Source organism: Homo sapiens, chromosome 9 (genome assembly GCF_000001405.40).
Source record: "Homo sapiens chromosome 9, GRCh38.p14 Primary Assembly".
Lineage (NCBI taxonomy): Eukaryota > Metazoa > Chordata > Mammalia > Primates > Hominidae > Homo > Homo sapiens.
Window position 1 is genome coordinate 69,813,586 of NC_000009.12, and position 23,823 is coordinate 69,837,408.

Below are 23,823 nucleotides of genomic sequence, written 5' to 3' on the forward strand. Positions count from 1 at the left end.
ATACCTTGTTCTCAGCACTGCCATCTTAAGTAATGTCAAAAGCTAACATTTCATTCTTGATCTTAATATAAATAGAGAAGTACAGATTAAAGAAAGTGAAAAGCTTCATAGGAACTACTAGAAAAATAAAAATAGAATATGTGCTTTTAAGAGTAATGAAAATACAATAGCAATTAAAGTCTGGTCTATAAACAACAGAGAAATAAAAGGAAAGTGAGAAAACATTGAAAAACAAGAAAAAGATGTCATCAGACAAAAAATAAGTTATCACAACCAAAAGAAATGATTTGAACATTTTTTATAAGCAAAGATTAATTATACTCTCTCTCTATAAATGAAACCCATCCTAATAATCCTAGATGGCTTAGTATAAAAAGATAAGCCAAGATGCACTGGAAAAACCACCAATAATCAAAATGTTGATGTTGCAATATTAATATCAAACAAGGATAATTCCAGGTCAAAATAATTAACATAGCACAAAGGATATAATTTTATATTGATGGAAATAATAAAAATATTATCTTTTGGCAAAGATTACAAGACATAGGCTCATTCATGCTGTTGGAGGATATACACTAGTCAATTCTTGTCAGCCCTCCTCTTCTGCTATGTCAATCACAAGGGGGCCATCTGATAACATTTACCTCTTTTCCTAATCCATTTCCTGCTCATTAGGGATAGTTCCTGTACCTCAAGATGTTACTCATCATCTTCAAAAACAATTTTTAAACCCTACTTTCTGAAATATCATTTTGGTTTTCTATTGCTGCATTAAAAATCACCGCAAATGAAATGGCTTAAAACAACACCCATTTATTAGCTCACAATTCTATAGGACAGAATTCTGGAAAGGCTTAATTGGGTTCTCCCCTTCAGGGTCTCACAAGGCCAAAATCCAGCTTGGGATGTCTTATTGTTACTATCTGCAGTGGGTATCTATTATTTTTGCCTGTCAGGCACACTTTCCCTTACTTTGGAAGTAGCAACCTATTTTTCCCTTTAGTCCAATTCCATACTTTCAGTCCAGATTGTTTAGAAGGGATGGGCATCATCCTTCAAGTCTAACCTCATGACACAGACCCAGCTGGAGAAAGTACAACATTACCTCTGGGCCTGACTCTAGTGACATTTTCAGAGTAGATTGCATGAGTCAAGTCAGGTCAACGAGTGACCAAGACTTTTGCTAGAGCTTGAAGGAAGAGGAATGCTTCATGTTGTGGGGAGTTAGGGAATAATGTAAGTCAATGGCCATCTTGGAGAGGGCTTGGTTGAGAATAAGCCAACCCAAAAAGTAAAGCAGAACCAAGAAATAGAGAGACAGTATCCCAAAGACATTATTAAGCCCTGGGATTCAGATGTGCTTAAACCAGACGTACCCCTGGAATTCCCAGTTATGTAAATCAAAAAATTCCTCTTTTTGACCTAATTAGTTTAACTTTCTGTCATTTGTCATCAAGAGTATACTAGCTCAATGCTAGGCATAGTGGTTTGAGCCTGCAGTCCCGGCTAGTGGAAAGGCTGAGGCAGGAAGATCACTTGAGCCCAGGAGTTCAAGTGCAGCCTCGGCAACATAGCAAGACTCCATCTCTTAAAAAAACAAAGCTGAATCACTACTATTATAGAAACTTTAACTGGAAATTATCATTTTACTTGGAAACTCTCTGGACCTCATTTATATTAAAGCAATTAGATGACTACTTAAAATTCAACCCAAAAAGCAGGGAAAATTTCACTTCCTTTTGTACTTTTTTCTTTTTCAGACAAGGTCAAGAAATTTTCCAGCTTCTTCCCTGAACCTTCCATTACCCCCAGATTGGTGACTAGGTGTCCTCATCCTAGAACAGCCTCTGTTCTACGCAACAACCCAGAACTGCCTGCTCACACCTGACCCTCTGGGGGAAGCCTCTCAGTCAGTTCATTACCAGCCTGCTCACCACATGGTTGGTGGCAGGGCTTGTCAGGGATATGGGCAAATTTCCATCACCCTCAGAGTAGAAAAGACGCCCTGCCCCACCCCCCTGATTTTCTCTGAGCTTTTTCCCTGAGAGATGAGATTCCTTCAACCAGATTAAAGGCCACAGAGAACAAAGAAAACCACAAGGATACGGAGTTTAATTTCAAGTACCACTCCTTTCATAAGAACTCTTAACTGGTAGCTAAATTGTTTCATTCTTGCTGCTAATAAACAATGAAGGTTGGCTTATATGGTGAAACCCCATCTCTACTAAAAACACAAAAAATTAGCCTGGCGTGGTGCTGTGCGCCTGTAATCCCAGCTACTGGGGAGGCTGAGGCAGGAGAATCGCTGGAACCTGGGAGGTGGAGGTTGCAGTGAGTCGAGATCACACCACTGCACTCCAGCCTGGGCAACAAGAGCAAAATTCTGTCTCAACAACAACAACAACAACAACAACAACGAAGTTTCCAAAAAGCAAAGCAGCACTGGGGAGAAAATAACGAGAATATTTTATGAAAATGGATATTCGGTCTTTGAATAATTAAGGATATCCAACTTATAGGATATTTTAAAAGTCCCTAAGCCACCTTTATGCTAGACTATGTCATTACTGATCTTGGGCATTAAAATTTATCATAATAATTATGAATAACTCTGTCAAGGTATTTCACTTATTGGCTGGATTAGATATTAAAATGAAGGAAATGTTGAATTATAGTATACATTGAATATTTAATAAATTAATCCCCCATGCTGACAGTAGGAGTTCCAGAAATAATGCCTATTGCATGTTAGCACTTAATCAATGCTAGTTAGTGATAATGGCTTAAGGACAAGTAGATGCCAAATTGATTCACAGTCCAAATTAGAAGCACAGAGGAATCATACTCAAGGTTAAAATCATTCTAAAAAAGACTGTTGGTAGTTACAGTTACAGGAAAGGAAAGAAGATTGAAGTTTTGCTGAAGTTGATTCCTTTGAGAGTTGTGAGACATAAACTTATTCATATAAATTTTGGCTCTGGTTTCTAGATCTGATTATTTTTCTTTCATTTGATTTGTACCTGGGTTTTCAACAATAGATTCTGACTCCAAAATCCATACTACTTCTCAAAGTTGGAAGAAGAGAGGAAGGAAACAGAGAGACAGAGAGGAGGAGGAGAGGGAGAAATAGGGGAAGAAAGAAGAAAAGGAGTAGGACATGGAAAAGTAAGGGATGAGGGGGAAAGTGGGAAAAAGCAAAAGAAGAAGAGAGAGGAAGAGGGGAAAGAAAATAGGGATGGGGGGAGCTGGAGATGGGGAGGTCTGGTTCCTCACCAGCCCCAGTGTGTCCCCCAATCCCCCCTTTTCTGAGCAAGAACCTCTTATTCATTTTGACGTAGCAGGTGGACTCCAACTTTTTGTAAAGAATACTCAAAAGGAAAACCACAGATGTATATGTGAGTAACAGGAAGTCCCTATTCCTGGAGTAGTAAAAAAAAAAAAAACTATACAATCCTTGATTAGGACATCACTGCTTAGTTTTTAGTTTCTGAGTGCTATACAATTTAAACAGGAGTTTTTAATATATTTAAACTGTATTTGACATAGAGATAGTACAAATTAGTTTTCTTAAGCAACGTTAAATTCTTGTCTCTCAGCATAATTAAAAGACATTTGATAGAGAGAAGTAATTTTAATGGTGGGGGAAAACATGCTACTGGAGACTTTAGGAGATCCTGAGTAGGGGCTTTTCCAGGAATTGAGCACAGATCAAGACAGGAAGGGAAAGGAGATGGCAAAGAGGTTTGCCCCCACAGACGTTTGCATCTGGTTGGTTTACATCTGTTTTAGGTTTGCTGCCCTGTTCAGTTCTTGGCAATCTCTTCAGGAATCTGATAAAGCTAATAAGGAAATTTATTAGCATAAGCTCACTTCCTGAGTTGGCCTGCCTACACTTATCTTACAGAAAAGTCCCAATTCCTCCCCAACCTGAGCCCTAGTTTTCTCACCATAGGGATATTACAGCACGAAGGGATTAATATAAATAGAAGGCATTGCTTTAAGCTCTATACTTCAGTGGTTTGATAAAGTTTGAGGAAAACAGGGATAACTCAAGTATGTTGAGGATCAGTGATTTCACATTTAAAAAGTATAAAACTTACTTATAGTCTTGAAGAGAAAGGATTCTATAGGAATGCAAATTTATCGTTATCGCTGGTACCATATCCAAATTTCTTGCCTACATTTTTCTGATCCAGGCTATTAAATTTCATATTAAACTAGAATAAAAAAGATATTCATTAAAAAGAGCTTGTAAACAGATAAAGGTTGAAAACAGTGAGTATAGGAAACTCCACACAAAAAAACCCACCACATTTTAGGATATTTTTACAAATGATAAAGACAAAGTCAGGATGTAATAATACTAGCAGCAGAAGTTTAAATTTAAGTGAGGACTGAGCATCTATTAGGCACTGTTCTACCTGCTTTCAATGTATTTATTATCTTATGTAATTCTAATAAGAACCGTTGGCCGGGCGCAGTGGCTCACGCCTGTAATCCCAGCACTTTGGGAGGCCGAGATGGGCGGATCACGAGGTCAGGAGATCGAGACCATCCTGGCTAACACGGTGAAACCGCATCTCTACTAAAAAAATTCAAAAAATTAGCCGGGCGTGGTGGCGGGCGCCTGTAGTCCCAGCTAATCGGGAGGCTGAGGCAGGAGAATGGCGTGAACCTGGGAGGCGGAGCTTGTAGTGAGCTGAGATCGTGCCACTGCACCCCAGCCTGGGTGACAGAGTGAGACTCCATCTCAAAAAAAAAAAAAAACAAAACAAAAAAAAAACAAAAAAACCCTCTGCAATAAGTGCTGTTCTATTCCTATTTTATTGATAAAGAATCAAGAAACCAAAATTCTACAGTATGTATTGGTGTATACAAAGAGAATGGAATGCACATAAACTCGAGGATATCACAGAATTAGTATCCTAAATCCTAGGACAAGGATGTTGAAAAGTATTTAGTAGACACAGAAGACAATGAAGTTTATAAATTTGATACAAACAGGAAAGTGAGTATAACAAAAAGCATATTCACAAACTCTAATAGGTGGTTGGCTTGGCTTAAGGAACTCTAAAATAACCAGCTATGTTTGTTTTGCATGTTTTCTTAACTTATTGCTCCTTGGTGTGCTGAAAAGCTTTTAAATCTCTGTGGTACTTATGCACTGTGGAAAGAGCTTGGCCTTGGGCAGCTTCCATCTTTGAGAGAAATTGTCTGCAGAGATCTGACATATTGGTTTCACATATATTATGTTACCGCCACTCTAAACGTAAGTAAAATGAACACATGAACAGATGACAGCAATGATGATAATATTTTTGGAACAACAGCAATATTCTGTGCTTTGATTGGACAGAATTGAGCTTGACATGGATCATATTTCCCCTTTTAAAGTTAACTTATGTTTTTCTTTTCATTCTGCCTAGAAGAAAGCAGCTAAAATAGCAGTCAGCACTCTCCTAGCATTTGGCTGGTGATGGTGGACTGTTTATTTGGTTTTAAGAAATATATTTTAACTGTGGCTGTCAGTAAAATAGAGACCTTAGCATACCACAGGCACCCACACTATGAACCACAGACCACGGAAAAGCACTTAGTAGTTATATGTAATCAAATTTGTGCCATCTGATACAGAAGAGTGCCTCACTATTTATGGGAGCACTATAACACATCTTTTATAAACCGAGAATCTATTTGTAGTGTGAATGGTCTCTTACTCTGTTTTAAAGTTTGATTTTTTTGTGTAGATGTGGTCTTCCTCAAGTAAGACACTTTTGGAAAGTAAACCTAAGGTAATCAAACATAATGAACATTCATTCATTCATTCAACAATGAAGATATCTGTATTAAGGACTATGCTGGGTAAGTGATTGCAAGGAGGAAGTGCTTTAATGCCCCTCAGGTACTCGACTAAGGCCAGGGAGGAGAGAAGAATTCTGATGTGTTACATATTCTTTTCCTGCAAAGTCAAAAATGAAACAAACGTCTTTTCTTCTGTAACATATCTATCCAATAACTTCTTGAAGGCAATGTTTTCTTCTGTAACACAGCTATCCAATAACTTCAAAAGGCAATCTTTTTAAAATCTCCTTCCCACATATAACACACAGCACAAAAATGTGATGAATTTGTGTTGTCACGAAATATCAAAAATGTCAATGAGGAGAACTTGACAAGTCCCGGGGATCTGAATGCCCGGAGTCCTAAACTGTACCTAGAGTCTTGCAGCGTCATAGCCAGAAGGGACTTGCGATTCTTGTGCCCACTCCACTCTACGGTCCCGTTCCCTCTTTCGTTTTTCAGAGGAAGAAACTAGTGTTCAGAAAGGTAGGGGAAGGATCTGAAACTGGAGCTAGGCTTTTTGATCTTCAAACTTTTTAGGTGATTTGCTGGATGAGTCTGCTCCTCCTCTTTTGCAGGCAGGAAAGCTGTATAGAATGACAAACTTTGGGTTTCAGGGGATGTTCTCTCGTTCTCTTTTAGTTAAACTTATTATAAATAACTCGTAAGCAGAAGGTGTGGTGGCAATGGATGATGGACGGTAAAAAGAACTTCCCCAAAGGCTGGGCGCGGTGGCTCACGCCTGTAATCCCAGCAGTTTGGAAGACCGAGGCGGACGGATCACTTGAGTTCTGGAGTTCGAGACCAGCATGGCCAACATGGTGAAACCCTGTTTCTACTAAAAATACAAAAAATTAGCCGGGTGTGGTGGCGAGACCCTGTAATCCCAGCTACTTGGGAGGCTGAGGCAGGAGAATCGCTTGAACCTGGGAGGCGGAGGTTGCAGTGAGCCAAGATCGTGCCACTGCACTCCAGCCTGCCTGGGCGACAGAGTGAGACTCGGACACACACACACACACACACACACACACACACACACACACAAAAGAACTTCTCTAAAGACAGCCCGAACAGACCCACTCGGGGTTCAGGGAATTTGCTCTTCCCTTGGTCCTTAACTGACCTACCACTCCCCAATAACTGCGCTCAGCCACTCTTAGGATTTGGCGGGTGGACAGGCGAAACTGCGGATCCCAGGATGCAGTTCCCCCCTTCATCACCTGTGTAGCCCGGTCGCTACCCTCACTGCATTCTGGGAAATGTAGTTTCTTATCAGTAACGACAACGTCTAGGAAACGTTTGGCCGTCAGGTTGGAGGGATCCGCCCCTCCACTGGCCCCGCCCCAGGTTGCTTAGGAGATAAGAGACGCCGAATCTTGGTACTTACGTTCCTGCCGGGCAGGACAGGTGCATAGGGAACTCCTCAGAGGTCTGTACCTCGAGGGCTCCCATGGATAGCCTTGACAGATCCTGCCAGGACTGGTGCGACAGGAAGCAACACTGGTTGGAGATCGGACCACCGGACTTGGTGGAGCGCAAGGGCTCCCTGACCCTCCGCTCCCATCACAAGAAATACTCGAAGCCGGTGTTGGTGTATTCCTGGTGAGCGAAGTCCCCTCGCAAGTTCCCGGGTGCTGCGGGGAGGAAAGAGAGGGGAAAGGATGGAACAGGAAAGGAAAGGAGAGTCAGAGAGAGGGGACAGGAGTGGAGACGACAGAGGAAACGGAAAAAAGAATGAGAAAAGTGGGGGAGAAATGTAGAGAAAGAAGGAAATGAGAAGAAAGGTGAGAAAAAGATGAGACGAGAGAGGAATGGGAAGGAGGAAAAGAGAGAAAAGAAAGAAAAGGGAAAGAAATATTTTCAAAGGAGAAATAGAGAGAGTGGGAGAGAGGGTTGGAGCAGAGAGGAGGAAATAGGAGAGCCTTTCAGGGGCAGCTCCCAGCCACACACTGGGCCACGCAGCAGCCAAATCCCCGCCACCTGAGGTTTTAGCTCATTCACACAGAGCGGGTGTGTATAAATAGGGGGTGAAAAGGGGGTGCTGTCAGAGGCCTGGAAATCACATTTCTGACACAGGCACTTACTCATAAAAGGAATTAGAGGCCAGGGGCACAGCAGGAGGGAGATGCCTATTTAGAGGACCAGCCTCCAGGGCTGCCACTTCCTGGGGGTAGGGTGTACATGGAGTGATTTGAACGAGGCCCCTCATATTTTCTAGGCTACATACAAGAACTTTTCTGGCCAGAGACTGCAAACTGGCATCTCCCACTGGTTAAGGCCAACAGACATTGTTTGGCATGAGCTCTGTTTACTTTTTTTTTTTTTCATTTTAATTAGTTGGCCACATTTAAAACTAGGAGATTCACAGTAAATCCAGGGTTGTATCTTTGAAAATTTGAAAGTCTTGGCCAGAGAGGATTTTATTTCTCTGGGGAACTATGAATGTACCAGAGCTGAGCACTGGCTACACCTTAAGATGGGTGTTGTTCTGTCTTTAGGAACTTCCCTCGTGTAAGTTCTTGCTTGGCCCCAAGAAGCATTTGGTTTACTTCTTGTGCTTTAGAACTTGACCTGGAAATTCACTTTCTCTTATTAAATATCACAGTGACCAATAGCAACACTGTGATGTATAACTGGAAGAAAAGTGGAAACTTTTAGGACTTTTCAAATTCTTTCCCTTGAATTAACTTTCCTGGCTCTGCTGTTGATAGTAATTACATTTGGAGTGGTTGGAATATTTGGGAGGGGCGTGAAGAAAAAAAAGAAATGAAAAGAAGTCACAAATCTTGTCTACTTTATGTTTTTGCTTTTGAAAGAAATGAGTGATTTTGACTCTAGCCCTAAGGCTAAGCCCGACTTCATCCCATTCATTCATGTAATATATGCGACCCCTGCAGTTTCTGTCTTGCAAACTTTCTAAAGCCTATTCCCTGCTTTCCAACAAGTTTACCTTTCTGCTTTTACTTCTCAACCCTGAAACTGTCTCTCTTCCTCCTTTGAACTCAGTATGAGAAGTTATACAGATTTGGAATCCAAAACTACACTGGGAAACAGAACATCCTCTTTTAGCCTCATATAGGGCTTACCTCATAGCTCTCAAGCAAAACACTTAGCTCTTCTGTGACTCTGTTACCCCACAGAGATTTGAGTCATACCATAAATCACCACTAGAAGTTATTGTTAAAGAGAAAGACTTTTTGCAAAGGGACAGTGCTTCTGCTCTCTGCTGCACCACTATTACTTTGAAAATTGCATTGTGAAAGTTACAGACATCAATAGCAAAACCACAGAAGAACACAAATGAGAAGAAGGTGAGGAACCTGGTGAGGAGAGAAGGATAGTGGAACGCTGTAAGTCATTCCAGCCGCTGCTGAAAATATAGCGGGACCTCATGCGTTGGTTTTAGAAGGAAGGCTGGGGAACAGGAAGACTTAAATTCAACCCAACATACATTTGTGTGTCATGCACTTTGCTACATGTTGGGGACATAGAGGTAGAGAAACAGATTCAATGAGATAAATTTTATAAAGCATTTAGCATCATTCTAGGAAAATCATAAGTTGTCAATAATATAGGGTAGCTGTATGAGTACATTTTCATACAGCTATAAATAAATACTGGAGACTGGGTAATTTATAAAGGAAAGAGGTTTAATTGACTTACAGTTCAGCAGGTCTTGGGAGGCCTCAGGAAACTTACAACCATGGTGGAAGGCAAAGGCAAAGCAAGCACCTTCTTCACAAGGCAGCAGGAGAGAGAAGGGTGAAGGAGGAACTTCGAAACGCTGATAAAACCATCAAATCTTTTGAGAACTCACTCACTATCATGATAGCATGGGGACAACTGCTCTCATGATCCAATCACCTACCTCCCTTGACACATGGGGACTACAGGTCCCTCCCGATGTGGGGATTACAAATCAAGATGAGATTTGGGTGGGGACACAGAGTCAAACCGTATCAGTAGCTAACACTATTGATTTAGCATAGCATAATGGTTAAAACTCGGGCTCTAGGTTTGAAAACTAACTCTCTTGCTGTGTGTTGCGGCAAGTGACTTGACTGCTCTGGGCCTGTTTCTGCAACTGTAAAATGGGGATGATAGGATTATTATAAGATTACATGAGGTATGATATGTAAAACACCCTTTAACACATGGCCTGCCACATATTAAGAACAGTAGAAGTTAGTTTCGCTCACGTGCATTTGAAGAGACCACCAAACAGGCTCTGTGTGAGCAACAAGGCTGTTTATTTCACCTGGGTGCAGGCGGGCTGAGTCTGAAAAGAGAGTCAGTGAAGGGAGATAAGGGTGGGGCCGTTTTATAGGATTTGGATAGATAAAGGAAAATTACAGTCAAATGGGATTTGTTCTCTGGCGGGCAGGAGTGGGGGTCACAAGATGCTCAGTGGTGGAGCTTTTTGAGCCAGGATGAGCCAGGAGAAGGAATTTCACAAGATAATCTCATCAGTTAAGGCAGGAACAGGCCATTTTCACTTCTTTTGTGGTGGAATGTCATCAGTTAAGGCAGGAACTGGCCATCTAGATGTGTACGTGCAGGTCACCGGCGATATGATGGCTTAGTTTGGGCTCAGAGGCCTGACAGTTAGTTATATGTATTAGGACATGGCCATTGACCTCAAGGAGCTCCATAGGGCAGAAAAGGAGAATAATATCAATAAATTCAGTATCATCTGATTTTTGCAAAAAAGAAATGATTATAAGAAGCAGAGGTAATGGTGTGGTGGGGAGGTTGGTTCCTGAGCAGGGTTTTGAACTAAGGATAGGGACAAAAAAGAACAGGCAAGTGCAGTGGAATAGTAAAGAACAGCCCCACAGGAAACAGAATTCTTTTTCAATAGTTGACAAATACAGTTGATCCTTATTATTTCCGGATTCTGTGTTTGTAAATTCACCCACTTGCTACGATTTATTTGTAAGTCAAAATTAATACTTGATGCACTTTTGTGGTCATTTGTAGACATTCTCAGAGCGGAAAAAAGGCAAAAAAATTTGAGTTGCCCTACGTGCATGTTCCCAACTGAGGTCAAACAAAGCAAGCAACGCTCTGCCTTTTTGTTTCAGCTCTCATACTGTAAACAAGTATCCTTTTCATGTTCTATTTAATGCTTTTTTTTTTTTTTGCATTTCGTGCTTTTTGTTTGCTATATGGTAAAATGGCCCCTAAGCATCATGCTAAGCACAAGAAGACTGTGACACACCTTACAGAGGAAATGCATGCATTAGAAAGCTTCATTCAGGTTTAAATTATAGTGTAGTTGGCAGTGATTTCAATGTTAATGAATCAACAATACACGTTATGTAAGGTGTTTTTAAACTGAAACACACATAATACAAGGTTATGTCTTGACTGACAAAAATATTGTGACCAGAGGCTCACAGAAACCTAACCTTGTATTTCTGTATTTGCTAATTGAGTGTTTGAGGCAAGTTTATAGAATATAAAGATAGCAAGAATTGACTGTGAAATGTGAGAAGCACTAGCATTTTCTGTGCTGACTGTATTGCTGGCATACTTGTTCTTCCGTATCCAACCAGTCACCAAGATTTGTCCTACAAAGCTGAATAAAATTCAGGTTGTGTAAAATTCTAAATTGAATGATGTCATTGACTTATTTTTATGCATTTTGGTCATAATTGTTAGCTTTCTATTGATTTGTTTTATGATAGATTAAATTTTTATTAAATTTTAATATCTTTTATTAGTGATTTCTTATTTAATTGATGAACACTTAATATCTATAAACACACCATTAGCATGGCTTCTCAACAGAGTATTTAATCAGTTAAGTGACTGTACATATAGGTACAAAATAAAATCTGTATCTGGGAGAAATTCTGACTTTCCTCTGATAACACAGTTCAAACATTTAGATATTTTTTCCTGTGTTTCTCTTTATCTGGCATGTGATACAGAGCTATTTGACCTCATTACTCATATTAAAATCCGTTGTGTATAATAGACGTGATAAAGTAATATCTCCAAAATCCTTTTTAGGGGATACCTTTGGTTCGTTACTAGGATAAAACATTGCCAAAGAGCCACCTCTTCCTTGCAACTGAAGTGGTCGATAGAGCCATATCACCCTTATCACACCTTGATGCTTCTGAGCCAGAGATGCCTTTTCTAGGAATTATTTTACCCCACTTATTCCTGTAGCATTTATGGAGCCATATCATCAGGTGATTCCATTAGAACTGAACTAAGGGGAAATATTTTCTGTTAGGATATCTTCCCACTCATTGGAATGATGAAATACTAAGAACCACAGCAATTTAGACTTACCCTTAACAAATTCTCTCATGTGAGGCTAATTCTTATATTCATTCATTCATACTCATCTTTTCCTTGGCCAAATTGACATCTGGTAACAAGTGATAATAATTTAAAGCAAAACAAATTCATTGGGATCTCCATGGAGACAGTTCTTGCTCTGGTCTCCATGGTGACATTTAGTTTTAAGGACTCAGGTTAATTTTATGTATTTGTGATTTTAATTACTTTTCTTCCCTGCCTAAGCCCCAAATTAAAGAGCCTGGGAGTTTCGCTTCCTGTCTCCTATAGGAAGAAACCAGAAAGATAAACAGAAAAAAAGGGAAGAATTATGGTGATAATTGTGGGGTAGGGAATTTTGTAGTTTTAAAGACTTTTACACAAAATCATCTGGGCTGGGGCAATAAATTAGAATTAGAATTAAAGAGGGGAATCTTTCCATGAAGCTCTTCAGACTTCCCCCCACCCTACTGCACTGTTTGAACAGGAAGTTTATATGTATTTAAGGTACTTCACATTCACAGAAGCACCCAGTTCCAAGACACTAGGATATCATGAGTGCACTTAAATAGAAAAGAGAGTGTCTGAATTTTCTAATATGCTGTGTCATTCTTCCTGTATTTAATCAATGATTTTCTCAGGTACTAACCTGGAAGCATTTAGAGTTCCTCCTGTCACTGGAGACCAAGCTTGTGTTACACAGATCTTTGCTAGCCAGCAATCCCATCTTTCTACATCTCCAACACACATTCGAGAACTACGATAAAAAGCAAAGAAAAAAAAGTAAGGACCCTTGGTAACAACATGCTGCAGCCTGTCTTTTTGCTGAAATCCACAAGGGCTTCTTTTCTATCAAGTTTTCTTCTTTCTGCCTTTAACATAGACTTAGGCCCTCAATCAAAAGCTTATTAACTCTTAATTTGTACACATTTTTAAGTTTGGTTATGTGGTTTCCATGCAAACAGCACAAAATTTGACGGGAGAGGGAAGAGGCTTTAAAGGGGCTTTTGGATCTATAGTTAGAAGGCAGAAAGAAGGGCAAGCCTCAGGATAAGGGATAAGAATGCAGTAGGTGCTCAATTAATGTTTCTCAAATAAATGAGCAAATGAGCAGGCAGAAAGAATAAAGACAGAAACCCAAAAGGTACTGCAGGCTGGGGCCCTATATTTATATTTTAATGAGGCCTTGAAGTAAAAGACTACAGTATAGTACAAAATCCCCACTAAAACCAGGGCTGATTTTCACAGCCATGCTCTTGATGCAATAGCATAACATGGAAGTATGTTTGGACACCTCTGTAGAAATGACCTTAGAAGGGTATAATATATACTTCTGTTACAATAGTAAAGAATTTTTAAATGGGAGCTAAGCTTGTGCTGTTCCTAGTTGCAGTGTGTGTCATACCATCAAGAACTGATGGGTATTAATGAGGTTTTGAGTTAATGTAGGGACGAATGATATTTACACTTTAAAGAGATATTTTTATTTCTCAATTTATACTTTAAAAAATTCCAAATTATAATATCATGCAGGCATTTAAGATGATGTAATAGTAGGCTAAGAACATGGAAATATATTCACTCTGTAGCGGGTAGCAGAATTAGAAATATGCACACAACTCAGATGCATATATAAAATTTATTTTCTAAAACCAATCCTCAAACTTTTCAACTGTTGGTTACTAGAGAAAAATTCAAACATGCCAATTAAAGCTTATCTCTGTCTCTTTTAGTTTAACAGCTTGTTTTAGGTTAAAATAGTCTCGTTCAGAACAGTGCCCACTCTTTGAGTCCTTCCTCCTCCACCTTCTCCTTCCCCCACTACCATCTGTATGTGTACGAGGGGCTGAGGTTATGTGACATTTTGGTGGGGGTGGAGGAGTGAGGCCTCCAGATCTATCGTAGGTCCTTGTCCTTGCTCGCCTCATCCTGGTCCAACCGCTGTGCATGCTGCTGCTGCTGAATTTGTGGCTGATCCTGTTGGTTTGTTGAGGACTTGGTGTCTCTGCCTCCAGATTCGGTCCCACTCGGTCTCTTGCAGGGGACTACAGATACCTGTCAGGCTTGTCCTCTCACAGCCCCCGACTTAGGCTGGTCACCCTGCAGCCACAGTGGTGGGGCACCTCTACCCTCAACATGGTGGCGTGCAGCTGGCCCAGTGATACTCTACTCAGCTTCCCTCTCAATGCCTTGGAAAGAGAGCGAGCAGATGCCATGGTTTGCCCAGGATGGTTTACTCTCATTGGCCTGAGACTTACCAAAAGCCCCTCTTTTAGTTTCTAAAGTGTTCTTCAGAAGATAAATTACAAAGTCATCCTCCCTGTGGTATATTTGGGAGCTTCTGGTTCTTGTTAATAGAAGCTTAAGGAATTTAGAAGGTCTTTTGATTCTCAACAATGCCTGACTTTCAAGAAAATATCTCACTCAGAACTCAAAAATTTCATTTTGTCAGTCAGAAGTTAATCAATAATACTCCATTTTTCTTCAGATTTCTGGTGAAACAGTCCTAATTTTTCCCAAAGCAAATGTGGGTATCTCTGATTTATCAGAGCAAAAGTTATTTTAAAGGCTGGCTCAGTAAAGTATAAAGATTAATATTTGAAATATTAATCTCAAGTATAAAAAAACAGCATGTACTGGAATTCTCTCTTTGGTTAAAAATATGTGTCTAGGTTGGGCACAGTAGCTCACTCACGCCTGTAATCCCAACACTTTGGGAAGCCAAGGTGAGGGGATCGCTTGAGCCAGGAGCTTGAGACCAGCCTGGGCAACATGGTGAAACCCAATCTCTACCAAAAAACCACCAAAAATTAGCCGGGTGTGGTGGCACACCCCTGTGGTCTAAGCTACTTGGGAGGCTGAGGCGAGAGGATCGCTGGAGCATGGGAGGCAGAGGTTGCAGTGAGCCGAGACTGAGCCACTGCACTCCAGCCTGGGTGACAGAGCTGGGTGACAGACCCTGTTTCCAAAAAATAAAATAAAATAAAATAAATGAGTCTATATGCACTGAAAAGAGAGTGAAAAAATATTCACCATGTAACATGATACTTATTACTGGATGGTGCATTTATGGATTATTTGTCTTTTTCTTTTTTCTCTTTGCTACTTCTACATTTTCCATAATGAACATGTATTTTCATAATAAGAATAAAGTAAAATAACTTAAAATTTGTGATATCACTTTCTACAGCTTTTCCCTGGATGCAAGCATTCTCTAAAGGATCAGAATTTAGACACAATACTTCATTTCTTTCAGCTTCTGAGTCACCCTCCATGGTTTATTATGAGCCTTTTAAAAATATCTTTTTAATTGTTAGTTTATGTTGGGTAAAAAGGATGATGTTATTCACATTCATTTGGTTTAACCACCCTTTCATTCTCGTCTGCGTTCTACAACGGTGGATCCTACGCCACGGTTATTTTTAATCTAGTCCTACATTCTCATTCCTCAACATACGCACATTACCTACAAATGCTTCTGGATATAGTAGTTTTTTGGGGAAAGCACTATATTTTTTATTTTTCAAGATGAAATCCAGGAGACTCAGCCTCCTTTTGCCCTGACTACATTTTTCTTCCAGTGCTGTTTTCTTTTATGAAATTCCAGTCAAATTCTTTTTCTGAAAACTGATCGTTATAGAATGATTGTGCCATGACCTTTGTGTGAAAGTTTGCTCAACTTAACTGGCATTTACAAAAATAAAATCGTTTTACATGCAAGATAAGCCCTGGTAAGGCAAAGTATACAGAAGAGGCATTTCACCACACGGGCAAACTTGGATAGGAAAGATCCTTGCTATACAGAAGTACCTCTGCCTCAAACCAAACCTCTACCCTTATGACCATCTCATAACTGGGCTGTGGAAGCCATTAGAGTCCTCTCCTTGTTGTAATGCTGCTGTAGTCTTTCCTCTCACAGATAGTCTAAGGTACTTTTTCACCAAGCTTGTTTTCTTTTACCTTACTGACTATCTCTTTCTAGGTAAGAGTGTTGTGGTTGGGAGAGGAAGTTAGAAGAATGTGGGGCTTCGTGACATTTTGATAAGGAGAAGTTCACACTGAGAAGCCCAGACTTGGGGCTCAGGGTGTTTTGTGGCACTAGAACTAGTATTGTTGAACACACTTCTCTGAGTTTCTCTGGGAACCCATCCCCATTCGCACCATTTTCTGTGTGTACTGGTCAGAGCTCTTTTGGTTGCAAGTGACAGATGGTCAGCTTGCCCTAGCTTAAGAAAACAGAATGAATTAACTCAGGATATTCCTGGATGATTGATTACCAGGTGAGAAAGGCAGCGGTAAGCTGGGCCTTAGGAACAACTGGAACGAGGGATGAAAATGTTACCAGGTCTTACTGTGTTTCCCCTCTCTCTTTGTGGGTTTGCTTCATCTTGTTGTGGAAGAGTATGGGAAACATGGCTGCTGCAGTTCTGGAATATATAACTTACATCTTGATCCCACAAAGAAAGTTTGGCTTTAAGGTATTTTCAGTTCTGGCTCAACAAATTCCAGGCCATATGTCTTTCCCTGGACCAAGTACCTGTTTGGAGTCATCTGGCTAGGCAAGGGCAAATGGAAATATGGTAGCTCTCCAAGAGCAACGAACAAGGAGGACGCATCCAGGAGAAGGAAGGAGTGCTGGGCTGGCAGTCCTAGAGTTACTGCAGTGGAGAAGGAATAGCAAATTTTACACACTCAGTTTCACAGCAAAAGTCTAGAACATAACCTATTAATATATTGGGAGACTTCCTACAATTGATGCTATTTTGACTTTAAACTCTCCCTCCCCAGCCAACTTGTATCTACTCAATGCAATTTTAAAAAATGTATCTTAGATGTAATGGGCAGAAAACAGAAATCTTGTGTAGAGATTAGATGAAACATATCTTTGCAGTGCTTTGCAAAGGTTATGAATAAATTTGAGTACTCTTATTTTACTTTTTTAAAGAAAGGGTTTCACTTTGTCACCCAGATTGGAGTGCAGTGGCTCAATCATAGCTCATGGTAACTTCAAACGTTTGGGCTCAAGTGATTCTCCTGCCCCAGCCTTCCAAGCAGCTGGGACTATAGGCATGCACCACCATGCCTGACTAATTTTAAAAAACTTTTTTTTTCTTTGGTAGAGTTGACAGTCTTCCTCTAATACCCAGGCTGGTCTTGAACTCCTGGTCTAAAGCGATCCTCCAACCTTGGCCTCCCAAAGTACTGGGATTACAGATGTGTGCCATTGCATCCAGACTTCTTACTGTTTTTGATAGGCATTAATCTTTATTACTGTTTGCTTTATTTCATTTGAAATACAATTATGTTTTAGTTATTATTGGTCACACCGTGTATTTTCTTTATTTTTATTTAACTAAGTTGTGATGCATTAACAAAGAGAATTAATTGCAGAAATATTATAATATGTTTATTTGGTAAGCTACTAGATCTCCAATCAGATGGTTCCAGGTTCAATTAAATGGAAGAATTAATATAATACCATTTATCTATTGCAAAGTAAATTTCATTGCAAATAATTTAGCCTCCTTTTATAGACAGTGATAGGATAAAATTTTTTGAAATTAAAATATAGGAATAAATAACTTGTCACAATTTTTTAAACATTTGGAAAAACTGAATTGCTCAGTAAGGATCCAGAAGCATTAAATAAGCTTTTTTTAAAAAAAGCACTAAGCTTTTATTCACTATCTTCTTTCCAGATGAAGAACTCTTTTTTTTTAATTGCATTTATTAAAAGTGTATTTATGAATCCATTGCTCTGTTGAAAGCACTTTGCTGGGTTAGGAATTTGACAGTGACTAAGACATCCTCCCTGCCTTTAGGATGTTAGAGGTTACTGTGAGATAGGAGTGGGGAGGGCTACCCCAGCAACTACAATGTACTGTGATATGTGTTTTGATTAGCGGTAAGCAGGTTGCTCAGGGAGCATCCAAGAGGAGCCTTTAACTTAGGCCTGTTGGACCAGGGGAGCTTTTCAGAGGAGGTTCACCTGGTTCCTAGGATCCCCAAGGAGAACTAAAGTATGATGCATTAGTTTCCAACCGAGAGCAGTACTACCCTTTCCCCAAGAGTCTTTGGAAATACGTGTGGGCATTTTTTGTTGCGTAATGACTGGTATCTTGTGATGCAGAATGTGTGGTTGTAAGAATTGTGACTCTTAGTCCTGGAGGTGACCATAGCATCTTAACAACATTTATCCATCTATCTATATGAAGCCTAATTTACATATCCATAAACTATAAGAACAGCCAGATGGGTGAAAACAGCAGAACTAACATGTATCTAGCGTCAACACATTAAGTTTAGTTAGTTTGCATATGGCCATTTATAACAAGGGTGTGAACAGCAACTCTCCTAATAGATCCAGTCAAAGAAAGGGAATTCCCCACTCAGTATTGTATAAGAACCCCGAGCTTTCAGAGATCAGTGGCACCTGCTCTCCTTGTAGGGATGCAATAAGGCAACAACGGACCACTGCAAGCAGTCTCTCAGAGGTTAGGATATTGTGATATCCCACCCAGACCTCTAACAAATAATTAGTTGTTATGTCATTATTAGAAAAATTTAGTCTGGAAAGATTGCATGGTTTTTTAATTTGAATTTTTCTTTGTGTGTAAAACAATCCTATAATAAACATAAGTAATTTGGAAATACTATTGTTTGGTTTCCACATATGTCAAAGTCAGTGTGGCGCGTGTAATGTGGTAAGTCTTGCTCCTTGTCTCAGCCCTTGCCCATGTAGCTCTGACAAATGAGCAGGTCAAGGTGTACCAAATGTCCTGCTGGACTTTCAGGCACAAATATGAATTTTTTTTCCCTACTAGTACTGTTTTGGGGAATAACTCTTAGCTCTGTGATAATTTTCTTTATTTCTTCTATAGAAATAGTCTATTCGGATTTTTTTTTTTTTTTTTTTTTTTTTTGCCCTTAACAGTACCTTTTTTTTTTCTCAGCTGGCCTTAGGCCTAAACTTTTTTTTTTTTTTAAATACTTTAAATTTTAGGGTACATGTGCAAAACGTGCAGGTTTGTTACATATGTAGACATGTGCCATGTTGGTGTGCTGCACCCATTAACTCGTCATTTAACATTAGATATATCTCCCAATGGTATCCCTCCCTATTTGGACTTCTTGTTTCTACTGGGGGCGTTGGGAAATAGTTTTTCTTAGAAAGTCATGTAAGTCATCTAGCTTTACATATATATTTGCATAGAGTTATGGAAAGTAATCTTTAATGATTAAGGTGTTTTTCTTCTATTTTGATGGTTATATCCTATTTTTAACAATTTTATTAAGATGTAATTCACATGCCATACAAATCACCCTTTTAAAGTGTATTTAATTCAATGGCTTTTAGTATTCACCAAGTTGTGCATCCATCACCACAATCAATTTTAGAATGTTTTATTACCCCCTCAAAATAAATCCCACTCCCTTTATCCCTTACTCCAAGCCTCCCCTAGTCCTCAGCCCTCGAGCCACAGGCAACCACTAATTGATTTTCTGCCTCTATAGATTTGCCTATTCTGGGCATTTCACATAAATGGAATTGTACAACATATAGTCGTTACATAATATTTTCAAGGTTCATCTGTGTTGTAGTTTTTATCAATACTTCATTTCTTTTTATTTCTTAATAATACGTCATTATGTATTTTAGTAGATACGGGGTTTCGCCATGTTGGGCAGGCTGGTCTCAAACTCCTGACCTCAAGCAATCTACCTGCCTCTGCCTCCCAAAGTGCTGGGATTACGGTGTGAGCTATTGCACCTGGCCAAAATATATACATACTATTTAGTCTAACATTTTCCATTGTTTCCGGTGAAAGAGTTTATCTGTGCAGCTGCGGGAAATGTAACTTGGTTTGCACTCCAAGAGGCCACCTCTGTGCAATCTTGTCGATCTCTTCTCAGCACTCCTTCTACTTGGCCTCAGCTGGACTTTGGCTGCTTTTAATAGCCCTTGTACATGTTATAATCTGGGGATGATAACTTGTGATTTTGCCAAAAATTTATTTGCTTTTAATTGTTTCATTTCCTTTGCTGTTTTTGAATGAATTCTAGGAGGAAAGGGAAAAATGTACATTTGTGTAGTTACGTTCATTATGGAAGTCTGTTTTAATTCTAGATTTTATTCCTGAAGAAAAGCTTATTTGTTTTCTAATGTTAATGCAACAAATTGTCCTGAAACCAAAAGACTTTGTATTATCTACTCAATATGCACAGCTCATGGAATCACTAAGTGTGATTTAAAATAGATCTTAAGGTGACATAATGTAATCTTTTGATGTTATTCTGGAATAATTCAAATTATTTAAGCCAGTAAGATTAAGACTATTGGAATAGGAGCTTACACAGGTAATTGAGTGATTCTTTGCTTTTTGTTTTGGACGGGGGCAGGCTGATCTCCATGTCACTCCATGCCAGGTATACTGCAAGGTGTTTCAGACTACAGTAATTACTAATGTACAGTGCCCCTTAAAAACTCCCTCTTTAGCCCTACTTTTCCACCACCCAGTGTCTTCAGCCAGCTATTGCAAGTTGTTTCTGGAGGAGAGGATCAAGGAAACTCAGAAGTATCCTAGGGTTTGAAGATTATTGAGACCCAGTTGTCTAACCATAGGGTGACAGAACGTACTCACCCTGGTTTGACAATGACAGTCCCGTTTTTCACCACTCCTGGTGTACTTAGCATCTTATTTCCCTCTAAAAGTGTCCCAGGTGGGATTATCAATTGCAGTGTTGCCCTATTTTATACATGTCCCTTCAGCTGTTTTCAAAGTCATGTGTTTGGCAGTTAATCAGACTGACCACATTTATTTAACATTTAAACTGTTACGATAGACAAAGCCTCCAACTGTTGTATTCCTTTTGATTCCTTCCAATATTTTCCATAGGGCCTTCTGTTTTGAAGATTTTCTATGAAGAAAATTTATAATAATGATGGGTCTTATTTATGTGCCACTCAATATATGCTCAGTGGAGAAGATGACTTCACTTATCTGTCTCCATCAAATGGTTTCCTTTTGAGTGCAGTTAAGTTTCAAATTCTGTGGTTTCATGGTTATAGATGCACAGATCACATACAGCATGAGACACATAGAAAAACAAAGTATTTCTTCGTAAGTCTGAAATGTCACAATTTTTACAAAGAACATAAGATTTTCTTTATGATTCTGCAAATACACCTGAAAGTCTTCATTTATCAGTTTGAGGGCTATGCCACCAAATAACACTGCCTTGGCATGTAAATCATTTGCCCACGAAATCTTCAAAGAGTATTGTCAATGTCTCATAGTCTTTGATTCTATCGGTTTTATGCTTCTAATGTGTTAGGGAATATAGCTGACTCTCAAGGGTAATTTTCTTTTAAAGTTCTAGATAGCAGATGATTATAAAAATCTAATAGGAAAGGTATCTTTTGCTTCTCATTTCACCAGCTTTATATCAGAAAATACAATAGCTAACGGCATGGTTGTGAACTACATTAATAATTCTAAAATTTAAAATTAATATATCCTGCCATCTGGAGTCTTAACTAAACATTTTAAACATCTTTGAAATCTGCAAAGAAAAGTGTGTCTCTTGTCAAGTCACCACAAGCTAGAATTCAGCTCAGATTTTCATTGTTCTCATGTCAGATATTGCTCAGATTCAAACCCCTTTGCAATCAGTGTTATGCATATGTATGTTGAAAGTTTTCTCATTCAGCAAGTAGATTTATAATTTCTCTGGAGACAAGTTAGCATTGCAAAGGACTAGCATCTCTATATGCATAATTACTCCCTCTTTACGTGTGCTTTTGCAGACTGAGCCAGGATACTCTTCATTTTTATGGACACGTTTGAAAGCCGTTGCTTTCAGCATTTATATTAAGGTGACAGTAACAAAATGTAAGAACATTCATCTAATCAATCAATCAGTCAATCATTTAAGATTTAATGAGCATTTACAATGTGTCAGACCAAGATCACAAAGATGAATAAAAAATAATCCGTGTCTAAGAAGCTTTCTGTCAAATGAGAAGGCTGATACATGAACGGATAATTACAAAACAATATGAAAGGTGCGGCAGTGACAAAGATGCTGGTTTCTTTGCAACCTCCCAATTCCCTTGCCCCACATAAACATACAACCACAGAAACCCTAGAGTATAACCTGTTTCCTTTCCTGTAAGAAGAATCCTACGACCTAATCCCACCCTCTCCTCCGCTGACACGGAGCTGGGCCCTCTGGCTTGGGGCAGCCTTGGGGAGCTGCAGGACCTTCCTGACCTGCAGCTCTGGATTCTAGTTTGTTCAGTCCTGCAACTCAATGTAGCAAGTTTTTCAGATAGCTAAATCTATTCAGTTTGAAGGACTATGAGATTGTTTTTACTGATTGTTGGTGTTAGAGGCCTTCTTATGAAAGGTGGTAGATGATTATTTTATTTTGAATGTTCTCGTCAAAACAAAAAGTTGGCAGCTTTATGTTGGCCCCATCCTTTTTGGGGGAAAGTTTGGCTGCTCCATGAAGCACTTAGGTTTGGGAACCACTGAGAGTCTGGGGTGCAACTGTTCTCTAGGGCTTTCTCAACCTTGGTACTATGGACATTTTGGGCAAGATACTTCTCTGTGGTTGGGGGCTGTCCTGTGCATTGCAGGATGTTTAGCAGCATCGCTGTCCTCTACCCGCTAGACACTGGTAGCACTCTCCTCCTTAGAAGTATACGCAACAATGTCTCCAGGCATGGCCAAATGTCTGCATTGTCTCTGGGGTGGGAGTGGATGCCACAAATTGATCCCCTTCTCCAACCAGATTGAAAACCACTGGTCTAGAGCAATATTTTTCACGACCCATCAATGTATTGTGAACTCAATTCAGTGGATTAATAATGGCATTTAAAAAAATAAAATAATAGAGAATAAAAAGTATCCAAATTCCTATGAGGGTAAAGACTGTTTTGTCACATTTTGGCTTCAATTTCTTTTTTTTTTTTTTTTACATTTTATTTATTTATTTATTTATTTATTTTTTATTATTATACTTTAAGTTTTAGGGTACATGTGCACATTGTGCAGGTTAGTTACATATGTATACATGTGCCATGCTGGTGCGCTGCACTCACTAACTCGTCATCTAGCATTAGGTATATCTCCCAATGCTATCCCTCCCGCCTCCCCCCACCCCACAACAGTCCCCAGAGTGTGATGTTCCCCTTCCTGTGTCCATGTGTTCTCATTGTTCAATTCCCACCTATGAGTGAGAATATGCGGTGTTTGGTTTTCTGTTCTTGCGATAGTTTACTGAGAATGATGATTTCCAATTTCATCCATGTCCCTACAAAGGACATGAACTCATCATTTTTTATGGCTGCATAGTATTCCATGGTGTATATGTGCCACATTTTCTTAATCCAGTCTATCATTGTTGGACATTCGGGTTGGTTCCAAGTCTTTGCTATTGTGAATAATGCCGCAATAAATATACGTGTGCATGTGTCTTTACAGCAGCATGATTTATAGTCCTTTGGGTATATACCCAGTAATGGGATGGCTGGGTCAAATGGTATTTCCAGGTCTAGATCCCTGAGGAATCGCCACACTGACTTCCACAATGGTTGAACTAGTTTACAGTCCCACCAACAGTGTAAAAGTGTTCCTGTTTCTCCACATCCTCTCCAGCACCTGTTGTTTCCTGACTTTT

At 39.5% G+C, this 23,823-nt stretch overlaps 1 protein-coding gene and 1 long non-coding RNA gene across 12 annotated transcripts in view, besides 1 other annotated feature; one reads left to right on the plus strand and one right to left on the minus strand.

Annotated features, from left to right (window-relative positions):
* Positions 1-5,819: 5,819 nt before the first annotated feature.
* CFAP95-DT (CFAP95 divergent transcript) lies at positions 5,820-7,154 on the minus strand. The gene is made up of 2 exons (NR_038833.1): positions 7,065-7,154; positions 5,820-6,682 (listed from the first exon to the last, which is right to left on the minus strand). It is a non-coding gene; the product is annotated as a CFAP95 divergent transcript (long non-coding RNA).
* Positions 7,148-7,207: a silencer, noted in NCBI's record as "silent region_19937". NCBI's record gives its function as "represses an Ori minimal core promoter by ATAC-STARR-seq in GM12878 lymphoblastoid cells {active_cell/tissue: GM12878}" and the evidence as "EXISTENCE:reporter gene assay evidence [ECO:0000049][PMID:35858748]".
* Positions 7,232-23,823, plus strand: part of CFAP95 (cilia and flagella associated protein 95) — an 85,411-nt gene continuing 68,819 nt past the window's right edge. For 10 of the 11 annotated variants that reach the window (NR_131756.2, NR_131757.2, XM_011518230.3 and 7 more), the window contains exon 1: positions 7,232-7,446. Coding sequence is in view for 5 of the 11 variants with exons in the window: in XM_011518230.3 (XP_011516532.1) it covers positions 7,295-7,446 (152 nt within the window). In the remaining 6 variants the exon portion in view is untranslated. Of the gene's footprint in view, positions 7,447-12,793; positions 12,922-23,823 lie in introns of those variants that run through there. The other variant, XM_011518233.3, reaches the window with a different exon arrangement.